Below are 13613 nucleotides of genomic sequence, written 5' to 3'. Positions count from 1 at the left end.
TTGTGGGAGCCTGCAACTTGAGTGGCTAGGAGAGGGGAGCCACATGTGTTAAGAATTTTACTTTTACTAGCAGAACGCTTTCATGTGAGGACCTGTTCTCTATTAAGGCAATTAATCTTCCTTTTCTATTTTGAAAGGTGATATGCTTGATCTTTTGAAATGGAGAACCCACCCAGACAAGATCACTGGCTGTCTCTCTAAATTAAAAGAAATTGATGGCTCAGAGATAGTAAAGGTATATAGTATTTCATTACTATTTTCCTTGCAGAGATTCATAGAATAAAGAACATTTGGAGGAAAAAGACAGATAGTATCTTATTTACTCATTTGCTACTTCTTTATCTAACAGTTTCTGCAGGATACACTGGATACCTTATTTGGAATTTTAGATGAAAATTCCCAAAAATATGGGTCTAAAGTGTTTGATTCTTTGGTAAGTTCAAATTCCCTTAATTGTATTTTAACTGTTTTGTCTCTCAATCTTGACTTTCATGAGGCTGGTTCAGAAACATGTGCTTAATAATGTAAGAGTTCATTTTAAAAAGAAGCAAAAAAAAAAGGAAAACCTTGATTTGCATTTAGTTTTATAAAGCTCAATTTTCTTTTTTTAGGTTCACATAATAAATTTGCTGCAAGATAGCAAATTTCATCATTTTAAACCTGTAATGGACACTTACATTGAGAGTCATTTTGCTGGGGCACTTGCATACAGGTAAGGCCCTGTATCTTGTAATTAGTTTAGAAGTGGTTCCTTTCAAGCTTTTCTCAGCAGAAGAGGCGATATAGGAAAATTTAAAAGGGAGTGTAGGAAGAAATGGAGCACTACTGAAGTGTCTCTTGAGATAGTCTCTTCCCTGCTAACACACCCTTTTTAAATGGGTAGAACTTATTTTGATTAAAAAGGGAAAAAAACCTCCTGAATTCTATTCCTGAGCCCTAAAATATAAAGTCTTTCCTTCTTGTCTCTGTTTCACTGGATATTCTTTGGTCTAAAATGTCTGGTTATCTCACTTCGGCTGTTAAGAGTCCCACTTCATCACTGTACTCCCTGATGATTATAAATGTTCATAAGAAAGAAATATGAATGGAAAACAACCTTTTCCTTCACACCTGCTGAAAGTCATCCATTCATTTATGTTAGGATTTACTGAGTGCCAGCTGCTTGCCAGGCACTGTACTTTATGCTGATGATGTGAAGACCTGGTCCCTGGCCTCAGGCAATTTAGTCATTGGGATCTACTCTTTGATAGGAGCTGCTATTTTAACTGCTCCTCCTTTTCTACTGGCTCAGGTGGTGCTGAAAAGTTATGAATAATATTATGCTTTGGCTAGTGCCTGCCTCCTCTCAACATAGTTGATAATTGCCAGAGGCCACAGCTTCTCTCTTTTAGTTCGACAAATAACTGCTTAAATAGCCTTGGAGTGTACCCCATCGTCTGTCTCCCAGTCCAATATGGTCCTTGCTGTTCTCCCATATTTCTACCTTATACCTTAAGCACCTGTGGGCATGCACATGCCTGACTGTTCCCTGAGGTGAGTTTAAAAAGCATGAAATCAGGTTGATATCCTTCCCCCATCTATGTAATATATAAAGGTTAATAGGTTATCAGATAAGCATTTGATCCTGTTTACTTGGATATTCCCAGCCATGACAGGTTAAGATCGACGTCTCCAACATCGAAATGAATGAAGGTATTTTTGTTAGACTTGACACTTCATCAGTGTGATTTTTTGCTGAGAGTGAAATGCAACCGCAGGAATAGTTTTGAAACATCGGCCCACTCAGCCTAACAATTTGGGCCCTAGTGTGAGGAGGTTACTGCTTCCAAGTTAAATTGTCTTTGGAAGCTAGAAAACAAGAGTATAATTTCTCACACTTCCGGTTGGCCAGGAAAGCAGGATCTTAAAAAGACAAATAAGGCTTGTGGAATCCTCTTAGGCTGGGGGTGATCAGAAACTCACTAGCATGTTATCTTAAAAAATAGCACTCCACCAACATCTACCTACTGGCACATCCAAGTATTCTCCCCTGACCCAGAGAAACATTGCTGGGTAAACTGTTTCCTAGAAACCAAGAACTGGCTGGGCACAGTGGCTCATGCCTGTAATCCCAGCACTTTGGGAGGCCAAGGTGGACAGATCATTTGAGGTCAGGAGTTCAAGACCAGCCTGACCAACATGGTGAAACCGGGCCTCTACTAAAAATACAAAAATTAGCTGGGCGTGGTGGTGCATACTTGAATCCCAGCTGCTTGGGAGGCTGAGGCAGAAGAATCTGCTTGAACCCAGGAGGGCGGCAGAGGTTGCGGTGAGCCAAGCCACTGCACACCAGCCTGGGTGACAAAGCAAGACTCTGTCTCAAAAAAAAAAAAAAAAAAGAAAAGAAAAAGAAAAAAGAGAAACCAAGAACTGACCAAAGTTCAAGGTGTAAGACTGTCATCTTGAGAGTTGTGGGCTGTTGTTTTTACATTTTTTCAAAACAGGAAAAAAAATTACCTTGGCCTTTCTAGAAATTCTCCTAAGGCACATATTGACATAAGCCAGGTTCTTCTCATGGGTCAGAAAATTGGCTTGATAAATCCATAAGGTGTGCATAGCAGTGGGGAGGCATTGTCTCCATCCCTCCTTCCCACCCCGTTTTGCCTGCAGCCTAATGATATTGCATCCAGCTGTTTACGTGGTCACTGGGAAAGAAATCCCAATGAGCAGTTTTACAGTATTGACCATGGCACTCACACTGCCAGGCACTTGGTTGGGCACAGTCCTTTTCTCCAATATTTGTGTTCACCCATTTGGAGGCATTACCAGAAACAGCAGGGCTATGGAATATGTCCAGATTGAGTGTTGTTTCTCCCTTAAGCTTTGAAAAGGGTGGCAGTGTTGATCTGCAGATTTAGTAAAATTATTATACAGCAGATTGACAGGAAAATGTGAGAACTGATGGGAAAAGAAACCTCCTCATGATATAGTTAAGAGTTGGATTTGTTGGCATTTAATTGAGAATTAGACCAATTTTACATTCTGCACATTTTCCCCTGTATTTTAGAGATCTCATCAAAGTGCTCAAATGGTACGTGGACCGGATCACAGAAGCAGAGCGGCAAGAGCATATCCAGGAGGTGCTGAAGGTGATAACATGCTGTTGATAACAGCAGAGTCTAACAAAGCTGTTGCATGCTGATGCTTAAACTAATTGGTTCCTCTACACAGACAGTAATGGGTGATGATGTATTACTGACATTCCAATTCAAGGATCTTAATCAGTTTGTGACTGCTTGAGAGCTGATGAAATTTGAAGGGGACTTTGCCAGGGTAGTCTACTGGAAACTGTTCAGGATTGAATCCTTGTTCCTCTGGGCTGGAGAGTACTTGAAGTGAAGTCTAAGATGAGCAGGAGAGAGGGAGGGTTTATGAGAGAAGTCTATATGGGGCAGTTAAGCTTAGAAGTTCCTGGCTCTTGCTTCCACCAACCTGACAGAGACCATCGGAGAACCATTTATGTTAAATTTTAAGAGCAAATAGGGTGGCTTAGCGGGGATTATAATGAGGAAACCTGAGGCTTTACCGGGTCTTGTGGCTTAACGCTGCCCACATCGCTGGGCACCATATGCTCAGTTGTCTGTGGAGATACTAATCCCTTACTTGCAAACATGTTGAAAAAGAGTACAAATTCTTAAAGGAATTGTCCAGTAACAGCCCTGGTAGTCTTCTGATTCCTGTTGTTGAGGACCATCCTATTTGGTGTCAGTAGCTTTAAGTAGACAATGTATACATTTTATAAAATAGCATTTTGTGAATTATTCATTTGTAATTTGGGCTGATTGAAGGTAAAATGCTAAGTGGCAAGAGTACTACCTGTCAAAACAAAATTATTTTTTAAAAAACAGTTATCTTTTTGTTGACTAAATTTAAAAAACATCTGAGGGTCAAAAACACTTAGTGTTCATCATACTCCAGAATGATAAAATTTTTTTTTTTTTAATTTTTTTTTTAGACGGAATTTTGCTCTTGTTGGCCAGGCTGGAGGGCAATGGTGCATTCTCTGCTCACTGCAACCTCCGCCTGCCAGGTTCAAGCAATTCTCCTGCCTCAGCCTCCCAAGTAGCTGGGATTACAGGCATGGGCCACCATGCCTGGCCAGTTTTGTATTTTTGGTAGAGATGTGGTTTCTCCATGTTGGTCAGGCTGGTCTCGAGCTCCTGACTTCAGGTGATCCACCCGCCTCGGCCTCCCAAAGTGCTGGGATTACAGGCGTGAGCCACCGTGCCCGGCTAAAGTGTTTTTAAATTTTCTATTAAAATTCTATTTCTTTTAAATTTCTTTTAAATTTAAAGTGTTTTTAAATTTTTTTTCTCTCATTAGGCATCAGAGAAAAGTGGCTGTTCCCCCTTAAAGTAAATACTGTTCAAAAAAGCCTCACAAGGCCTTGGTGTCTACATGAATAATGTAAAAGTTTAATGCCATACCATGGTTTTTATGCCGTGTCATTGCTAAATAAATACTCTTTGTCTCCTTTGAAGCTAACTTTTAAAAATTGTATTTTTAAGGCACAAGAATACATTTTTAAGTATATAGTTCAATCTCGAAGGCTGTTTTCCCTTGCCACTGGTGGGCAAAACGAAGAGGAGTTCCGCTGCTGCATTCAGGAGCTTCTCATGTCAGTCCGTTTCTTTCTTTCGCAAGAGAGCAAAGGGTCTGGAGCATTATCTCAGTCACAGGTAATTTCTTTTCATCTATGCTGAATAGAAGAAAACGATAAGTGCAGTTTATTTATTTTTACACAGCAGCGTAATCAAATGTTTTCTCCATCAGAAGTCAATTGCTCCAGTTTATATTTGTAGCTTAACCAACTTTATGAGTAGACTTTTAAAATTCCCCTACCTTCTGTGTACCAGCTGAGCAGAAGTGGGTTGCCTTTCCCTTCTCTCTCTGCATGGAGAGGCTATTGGTTTGCATCAGCTTCATTTCCGGTTACCAGAACACATACTGACGACTGGACATGCTGTCACCACCAGCCCTGGGGAAGGAATTTCACTAGGGCCAATCTCTTGCAGTTCTTTTCCCCAAGCTTCTCACTGCATTTTAATCTGTCAACTTGAGAATCATTATATTGGACTCAGCTAAGCTGCATGTTGTTTTGTTTTATTGAACTTGACCCTAATCATCCTGGGACTGATCTTTTAAGACCAGTGCAGAGCTGCTGCTGCCGCCAAACTCCATTACCGGAAGTAGCCCCACATGTTTTTTTTAAGAACAGGATCCATCTACTTCCCAAATAGCATGGCCTTGAATATGTTCCATGAGGTAATTCTGAATATTTTCCCTATACTTTCTTGATTCTTCTTGTATACTTTTAATTCTAATGACTTGGTTAAAAACCTGTCAGAAGGAGAAGCAGCCTCTTACCATGCCCTAGAGGTTAGAGAAACTTGTAATCATTGAGAACTGGGACATAAAAAGGGAGATTAGGAGACAAAATTAGATCCTTAACAGTATTGTTATGATTTGGTACTATGTGATGTTCAGAAAGCAAAACACCGGGAATGCACCAGCCCTCTGATAATGTGCTGTATTTTTTCTGACTGTTGAGAGGTCTATTCTTGTTCCTCTCTTCTTTATAGAGGTGGACTCATCTTCCATCTGGGCAAGGATATAACTCAGGCTCTTTTAAATGTCATTTTGGCCTTTGCAGTCAAGAGTACAATCACTGCACTATGGGAACTTGCCAGAGACCTCAGTGTCAAGTTGCCCACTACTAGCTAAACCCTGCTGACAGCACTTGATATTTGAGCAGGATAATCCACCAGGCTAACCATGCATTCCTTCAGATCAGAGTTCTTAGAAGTTTACTGTCTCTACAAAAGTAATTCAGAATTTGAGTTTTCGTCCTGAGATTTTTCTTTTTACCCTTTATCAGTTACAGAGATGAAACTTGCCTAATTCACACCTGAAAAATATTTTCTTACTCTTAAGAGTAACCGTAAGGCATGGTTTCTTCTTAGGGATTCAGGAGACTTTTTTTTTTACCTTAGTTGTACCACTGGATCCTGGAGGTCCCCCTAAGGTGGCTTGGGCCACCGGGGTACAGCAGAGTGGAGCAGCTCTGCTCTCACCTCTTCAACACACTGACTCCCACTGCTCTTGATTCTCTGAGCTCTATCCCACAGCAAATTTTAGAAACAACTTTAGCACCTTCAAAGAATCATATTTGATATTTTTTGCTCTCAGCTTTTAATCAAGAGATAATATGTAAATGTGTCCATAAGGTTTCTGAATATCTTTGTAAACTCTACTGAAGTCATTCTGTTATTTTGTGCAGTATCACTTACCTATATATTTTGATGTGATAATTGATGTTTCTTTTGATGCTAAGAAAAAATCCATATAAAATGATAAAATGGTTAGTTTTCTTTATTAAGCAATGAGAACTTTGCCTCTGTGTATTTGGGGAAGACAAGAAATGCCACACACCTCTGCCTGTACCAGGTTCCCTTTTGATCCCATGCTCTCTTTGCAGAGGCAGTACCACTAATTCAATGGATCCGATGTGTTAGTTTTCTATTGCTGTGTAACAAATGACCATAAGCTTAATGGCTTTAAACAACACTCATTTATTAGCCCACAGTTCTATAGGTCAGAATTCCAGGCAGGCTTGGTTGGGTCCTTTCCTTAGGATCTCCTAAAGCCAAAATCAAAGTGTAAGCTTTCATGTGTTATCTGGAGGTCTGGAAATGAATTTGCTTTCATGATCTTTTAATGCTATTGGCAGAAATGTTTCTTTGTTTTCAGAAGACTAATGTCTGCATTTCCTTGATGGCAGTCAGCCGGTGGGGGGAGGTGCTGTCAGCTGCCAGAGGCCACTTGCAGTCCTTGGCACATGGCTGCTCCTTCCTCAAATCCAGCAACAATATGTCAGATCCTCCTCATGCTTTGAATCTCTCTGACTACTTCTCCTGCTACCAGCCAGAGAAAACTGTTTTAAGAGCTCATGTGATTGGGTGAGGCCCACCTGGATAAATCTCCATATTTTAAGGTCAACTGATGAGTAATCTTAATTACATCTGCAAAATCTCTTTTGTCATGTGACATTATGTAATCACAGGAACACCACCAGGGAACAGGGTCATGGGAGTCGTCTTAGAGTCCTGCCTGCCACATTTACAGCCAAATAAAATTTGGCTCTGAATTTGTCCAAGCTTTACTATTAGGCTGCCTTATAGGCAGAAACCTGGTTTTCTTGCTCCATTTTGCATTTTTTCCATGTGGGCTACAACTCAGGGCAAACCCTGTCTTCTAGAGGCCATCACCACAGTCCTTTGGGTTGGATTGATGGGAAGCTGCCCCACAGATGTATGCATCCTGGTCCTACTGGGTAGGTTCATTTAGTCCTCCTGCCCCAAATGCAACTTGCTAATGACTGTTCTTGTTAGCCCTGTCCTGGAAGGACTAAGGGCTAACCCACCTGGTACAGCAGTGGTTCTTAGCTTTCTATTTCATGGACACACACCTGCTAACCCATGATCCCTAAAAGAAGAAGAATGTCAGAAGGAATAGAGGCCCCAAACCCTGCTAGACAATTCCCAATAGTTATCTTTCCCTGTGTGTCCTGGCTACTAGGAAGGTCAAAACTAAATTGTACTTTTATTTTCACTTGCAGTAAAAACTCTCAGCTTGCCCTGGCACAGCCGTCTTCCTCCCCTCATCACAAGATACTTGTTCTTTATCCTTTTTAATCATCCTATTATATGTGTATCTTACACTGTAGGCACATTCAGATGCCTTTTTGAAGTCAAGACATATAAATAAAGAAATAATGGATAAATTAAGGGATACCTGAGGAAAATCAACTTAGTTGACTTTTCAGTAATCAGAAAGCTGGGCTCATTTTATTTAACTTCATCAGTATGACTCAGCTCTGCAGGGTGACGTGAAGGTTATATAAATGCAGGCTGTAACGGAGAATATCAAGTTATTAACTTTAAATATATTCAAGTAAATCTATAATTTTTAAGAGCCAAGGGCCATTGCTGTTGACTTATAGCATCTGGAGTATTTTGATGGCGCTGGCATCAAAAACAGATCTTGGCTCTTCTAGATATTTTTGCTGCTGCTGTATAAATAAATACTAAAATTCTTAAATTTGAGTTTGAGTGAGTCTGTGTTTGAATCATCAGCACATGTAGACGCGACCTATTTTCTGATGGAGTCAGATCTCATTGGTACGCCAACTAGCACTTGAATTTTAGCATGTTAGAAACTCGTGCCTCCTTCCCTGACTAGGTACAGTTGAAGCTAGTCGACTCTTCTTCCATTGCCCTCCTTTTATGGAATTTTAAAAGGCTGATTTGGTTTGTTTTGGTGTACAATCCTAGCCCAATTTTTTAAGTATGCCCTTTGAGATTTGATGTGAGCATCTTTTTTCCCCATAAAAAATGATGATCGGGTTTTTTTTTTTTTTACATAAAAATATTGTTCTTAGTCTGTACACACAGTTCTTGGTTTAAAATAGATCTTGAAGCAACCCAGAGGGTTCTTGTAATGATCTTTTTGTTTTACAGGAGATGAAACTAAAGCCTAAATGATGAAACTAAAGGGTGCTCAAATAACTTTCCAAAGTCACAGAGTTATTGGAAGCAAAGCTAATACTATGTGTAACTTAGATCTTCTGATGCCCTGTCCTGTGTTTTTTCTTAAATCAGAAATGGAGTGCTTTGGAGGAATTAATGTGTTTGGTTTCTTAAATGTGAATGAGATTTAAGTGAGCATTTCAGAAAGCTTCTTCCAAAAGGAATGAATATAACTGACTACAATCCAGGTCTTGGTTGAGCATTCTTTCTATTCAGTTTTGATGCACTTCACTGATTCTGTGAGGTTTTTGTCAATCCTTTTGCTAATGTCAGTGATTTTCCAAAATTTCCCAGTTTTTATTATGCTGCTGCTTCGTACTTTTCAAAAACTGTCCTATTCTGCTGCACTTTTTAAAAATTTACCTTTTAGCTTTAGGTAACAGAAACATTTCATACTTCTATTCCTACCATTCAAAAACACTTGCCACGGTCCTTAAACTCACTGACGTTTTGCAGCATATTTCTCATGGCGTATCTGGGAGTTGATTTAAATGTCTTCTTCTTTTTAAGGCTGTGTTTCTGAGCTCTTTCCCTGCCGTGTACTCAGAACTGTTGAAGCTCTTTGATGTCCGGGAAGTAGCCAACTTGGTCCAGGACACCCTGGGCAGTCTGCCGACCATCCTGCATGTGGATGATTCCCTGCAGGCCATCAAACTGCAGTGCATTGGCAAAACCGTGGAAAGCCAGCTTTATACCAACCCAGGTAGGGTGAGTCTCTTGGAGGAAATTGTGCCTCTGAAAAGCCATTTTGTATATTTTGTAGCCATTGGTCAGCAGATGCAATTAAAAACAAAACACTAAAAGGCATTTTCTCAAAACCATTGTTTATTTGGATGGTAAATGTATTTAGTAGTCAAATACAAAAGTATGGCAATTAAAACTTTATTTCTGGAAAGAATGAAAACTAATGATTACATTATTGTTTTTTATGTTTAATGGGATTTAACACTCCTTCAGAGATGCTTACAGGTACCTGATAGGATCCTTATTTTTCTCTTTTGTTTTTAAAAGTTTTTCATCAATTTATGTTCTGAAGCTATATGAAACTTTGCATTATTGTTGTTTTTTACTTTACCCCAAGAGCAAGTGGTCAGTGACTCAAATTAATTTTGTTATAATAACTGTTAGTAAGTTCCATTGCCTCTTGTTTTCTTCTGTTTTTTTTTCCCGAATAAATAACAGAGTGAGTACTAACCTTATCTTAAAGCTTATTTTAAGAAATTTTAATCAGCCTCCCAAGTAAAAAAGTTCTTAAAATAGATTCCATTAATAATTATTTTCCCTGACAGGCACGGTGGCTCACACCTGTAATCCCAGCACTTTGGGAGGCCAAGGCGGCCAGATCACTTGAGGTCAGGAGTTCAAGACCAGCCTGGCCAACATGGTGAAACCCCATCTCTACCAAAATACAAAAAAATTACCCGAGTGTGTTGAGAGGTGCCTGTAATCCCATCTACTCGGGAGGCTGAGGCGGGAGAGTTGCTTGAACCTGGAAGACAGAGGTTGCAGTGAGCTGAGATGGCGCCACTGCACTCCAGCCTGGGCAACAGAGCAAGACTCTGTCTCAAAAAAAAAAAAAAAAAAAAAAAAAAGAATGATTTTCCCATATGAATGTGTGTGTATGTATGATTTTTTTGAAATAGTTTTATATATAGTAAACAATTTTTTACATATTTTCTTGTAAAATATTTTATACATACATTTAAGGATAGAGCATAATAATGGCAAATCATTAACAAATCTTAACATTACCACTTATTTGCTTTAGCTTTTTTTGAGACAGAGTCTTGCTCTGTTGCCCAGGCTGGAGTGCAGAGGCATGATCTTGGCTCACTGCAACTTCTGCCTCCCAGGTTCAAGCGATTGTCCTGCCTTAGCCTCCTGAGTAGCTGGGATTATAGGCACACACCACCACACCCAGCTAATTTTTGTATTTTTAGTAGAGGCAGGGTTTCACCATGTTGTTCAGGCTGCTGTCGAACTCCTGACCTTGCAATCCGTCCACCTTGGCCTCCCAAAGTGCTGGAATTACAGGCATGAGTCACCGCACCCGGCCTTGCTTTAGATTTTTTAATAAGAAATTCATCACAGATATACTCAAGGTCCTCCTGTCTAGGCTCCCATTTCCTTCATAGAAATTTCCACTATCAGAGATTATGGTTCCTATTTTCTATTCCTTTATTACATAGCTTTAAAAATATATAGTATGGTTTTTTCTTCTTTACAAATTTTTAAATCATTTCATCTTTAAATGATAACAGTACATTGTATGTCACTCTTTGGAGTGTTTTTTTTATTAATATTATTATTATTATTTTTTTTTTTTTTTGAGACTGAGTCTTGCTCAGCCACCCAGGCTGGAGTGCAGTGGCATGATCTTAGCTCACTGCAACTACCGTCTCCTGGGTTCAGATGATTCTCCCGTCTCAGCCTCCTGAGTAGCTGGGATTATAGGCACCCACCATCATGCCTGGCTAATTTTTGTATTTTGGTAGAGATGGGGTTTCACCATGTTGGCCAGGCTGGTCTTGAACTTCTGACCTCAGGTGATCCACCCACCTCAGCCTCCCAAAGGGCTAGGATTACAGGCGTGAGCCACCACACCCGGCCTAATATTATACTTTTATATTTTTCCATGCCACTAGATATAGCTCTACTTCATTATTTTTTACTGTTGTATGATATTCCACTGTATGAACATATCACAGTTAATTTATTTTTTCTCCTGTTGAAGGACTTTTGAGATATTTCTTATTTTTTTTTCTGAAATAGCACTTCAAACAATGTAAAAGAAAGTTCAACCTTCCGATTTCTCCCAATAAAAACATATCCTGGAGAAAAGATATTTCTTGTAGTGGTTTTCCAACTCTGCTGCTCAGTCCTAAGGGTTCTGTGCAGTGACTCAGGAATCTCTCCGGGGTTGGGAACAGGTACTGTGCAGGAGATGTAGGTCCCAACGGAGCACCCTGCTTTAACTCAAACACCAACCCTGCTTTCACCACACTAGGAAAAGTTCACTCCTGTCTCAGAGGAATTGCTGATTTCTGCCATATTTCTCCCACACTGACCAGATAATTCTTTGTTAAGTTAAAGTCTTGCACTAAAAGAGCAAGACAGTCATCAAAATTGTTTTCAAATGTAAGGAAAATATTATAGGGGTTTGTGTTCATTGCCTCTGAGCAATGTAATCTGTCCTTGGGCCCAGTTCCTTGTTGGTTCCTGATGCTCCATAGATAATAGAGAAATCAGGACTAGAAAGATACACAGAGAAGAACCTGCTGTGATGCGGGATAAAGAATGTTGGGTCCCGTGGGAATTGATGAGAGTATGTACTATGGTAAGGGATGGAAGGACTCATGAGACCCAAGAAATGTTGACCCTGCAGGGTCTGTGCCAGTGCCCTGGAAGAGAGGCTCAGGGCCAGCGTAGGGAAGCTGGTAATTGTGAATATGGTGGCGTGGAAAAGGAAGAGAAGAAGAGGAAACCCTGTCTGCTCATGTTGTGTGGGAAGGTCCCACACATGGAGAATGATTATGGAGAAGCAACAGTGGCTCACGATCAACAGAATCCTTAGCACGTGCAGATGTTCAACAGAGAAAAGGCTTCTGTCACTGCCGCAGCAGGATGTGGCTTGCTGCTTCCTAACTCGTCATTGAAGAAAACAGAGACTGTGATGTATAAGATGGGCTGGGCAGAACACATCAAGAAGGAGCCCATCTTCATGGGGAAAACTAGGAAGTGTCCCTGAGAGCCTTCCAGGGCTCAGAGTACCTTCTGTTTAAATTACATGTGACTACACAATACTGCTAGGGAAACGTGGAAAGTGCTTCTAGTGACTTTGGCATTCTAAATCAGAAACTGTGGACTTAGGGGACTGATGGGCATATTTATGTTGTCTAGTTGAAAGAGGAGATGTCGGAAGGAAAAGAAGATGTGAAATGCAAACAGCAGGCTCCACAGACAGTGTCAGAGAACAGGACGTGATATCTTGAGTTGTGGTTAACTGGAGAGTGTGATCCTCACAAGGGCCTTGGTACATCTCACAAAAATAGGCTGATTCTGTCTGACTGGAGGGGAAAGAAGAGGGACAATATAAAACTGTATAACTAAAGATCTATAATAAAAGAGGGCCCAGTTGTCCACTCAAAACAAAAGGTAAAAGGGTTAAGCCTAACACTTCTGACCTTTCATTTAAAAAATTAACACACGGCCGGGCGCGGTGGCTCACGCCTGTAATCCCAGCACTTTGGGAGGCCGAGGCGGGCGGATCACGAGGTCAGAAGATCGAGACCATCCCGGCTAAAACGGTGAAACCCCGTCTCTACTAAAAATACAAAAAATTAGCCGGGCGTAGTGGCGGGCGCCTGTAGTCCCAGCTACTTGGGAGGCTGAGGCAGGAGAATGGCGTGAACCCGGGAGGCGGAGCTTGCAGTGAGCCGAGATCCCGCCACTGCACTCCAGCCTGGGCGACAGAGCGAGACTCCGCCTCAAAAAAAAAAAAAAAAAAAAAAATTAACACACACGTACACAATTTTTACAACAGCAAAAGGATTTTTTGAGGGGATGGGGAACTTGGAATTGAATGCCCTAGTTTTATATCTTATTTTCCCAGAGATAACTGTATCCAAATGACAAGGGATGGGTAAAAAAAAATTCTTTTATTATAAACATAAAACAATAGCATCACCAAAATATGGAAATAAGACTCATTTTAGATACAGTTATGATGGAGTCATTTCCCATTGCTGCTGTGACAGTAATCGCAAACTTAGTGGCTTAAAACAACACAAACTTCTTATCCTACTGGTCCACAGGGTGGAAGTCCAAAATTGTTCTCAATGGGCTGAAATTAAGGTATTACCAGCATCTCTACAAAAAATAAACAAAAAATAGTCAGGTGTGGTGGTGCATACCTGTGGTCCCCGCTACTCAGCAGGCTGAGGTGGGAGGATCACTTGAGCCCAGGGGGTTGAGAATACAGTAAGC

General features: G+C 40.5%; 1 protein-coding gene across 14 annotated transcripts in view, besides 1 other annotated feature; it reads left to right on the top strand.

Moving 5' to 3' along the window:
• The window catches only part of DOCK4 (dedicator of cytokinesis 4), a 480290-nt gene that overhangs the window by 333698 nt on the left and 132979 nt on the right, over positions 1-13613 (top strand). For all 14 annotated transcript variants that reach the window (XM_047421081.1, NM_014705.4, XM_006716189.3 and 11 more), the window contains exons 18-23: positions 138-235; positions 350-433; positions 612-712; positions 3047-3128; positions 4548-4718; positions 9138-9330. In XM_047421081.1, the coding sequence (XP_047277037.1) occupies positions 138-235; positions 350-433; positions 612-712; positions 3047-3128; positions 4548-4718; positions 9138-9330 (729 nt within the window). The remainder of the gene's footprint in view (positions 1-137; positions 236-349; positions 434-611; positions 713-3046; positions 3129-4547; positions 4719-9137; positions 9331-13613) is intronic.
• Positions 4258-5457: an enhancer, noted in NCBI's record as "BRD4-independent group 4 enhancer chr7:111507301-111508500 (GRCh37/hg19 assembly coordinates)". NCBI's record gives its function as "activates an origin of replication core promoter dependent on BRD2, P300/CBP, MED14 and CDK7 cofactors, and independent of BRD4, by STARR-seq in HCT116 cells {active_cell/tissue: HCT116}" and the evidence as "EXISTENCE:reporter gene assay evidence [ECO:0000049][PMID:35650434]".

The sequence above is a fragment of the Homo sapiens genome, chromosome 7, assembly GCF_000001405.40.
Source record: "Homo sapiens chromosome 7, GRCh38.p14 Primary Assembly".
Taxonomy (NCBI): domain Eukaryota; kingdom Metazoa; phylum Chordata; class Mammalia; order Primates; family Hominidae; genus Homo; species Homo sapiens.
The sequence above is the reverse complement of the archived record's forward strand: the minus strand, read 5'-3'. Positions and strand labels throughout refer to the sequence as shown.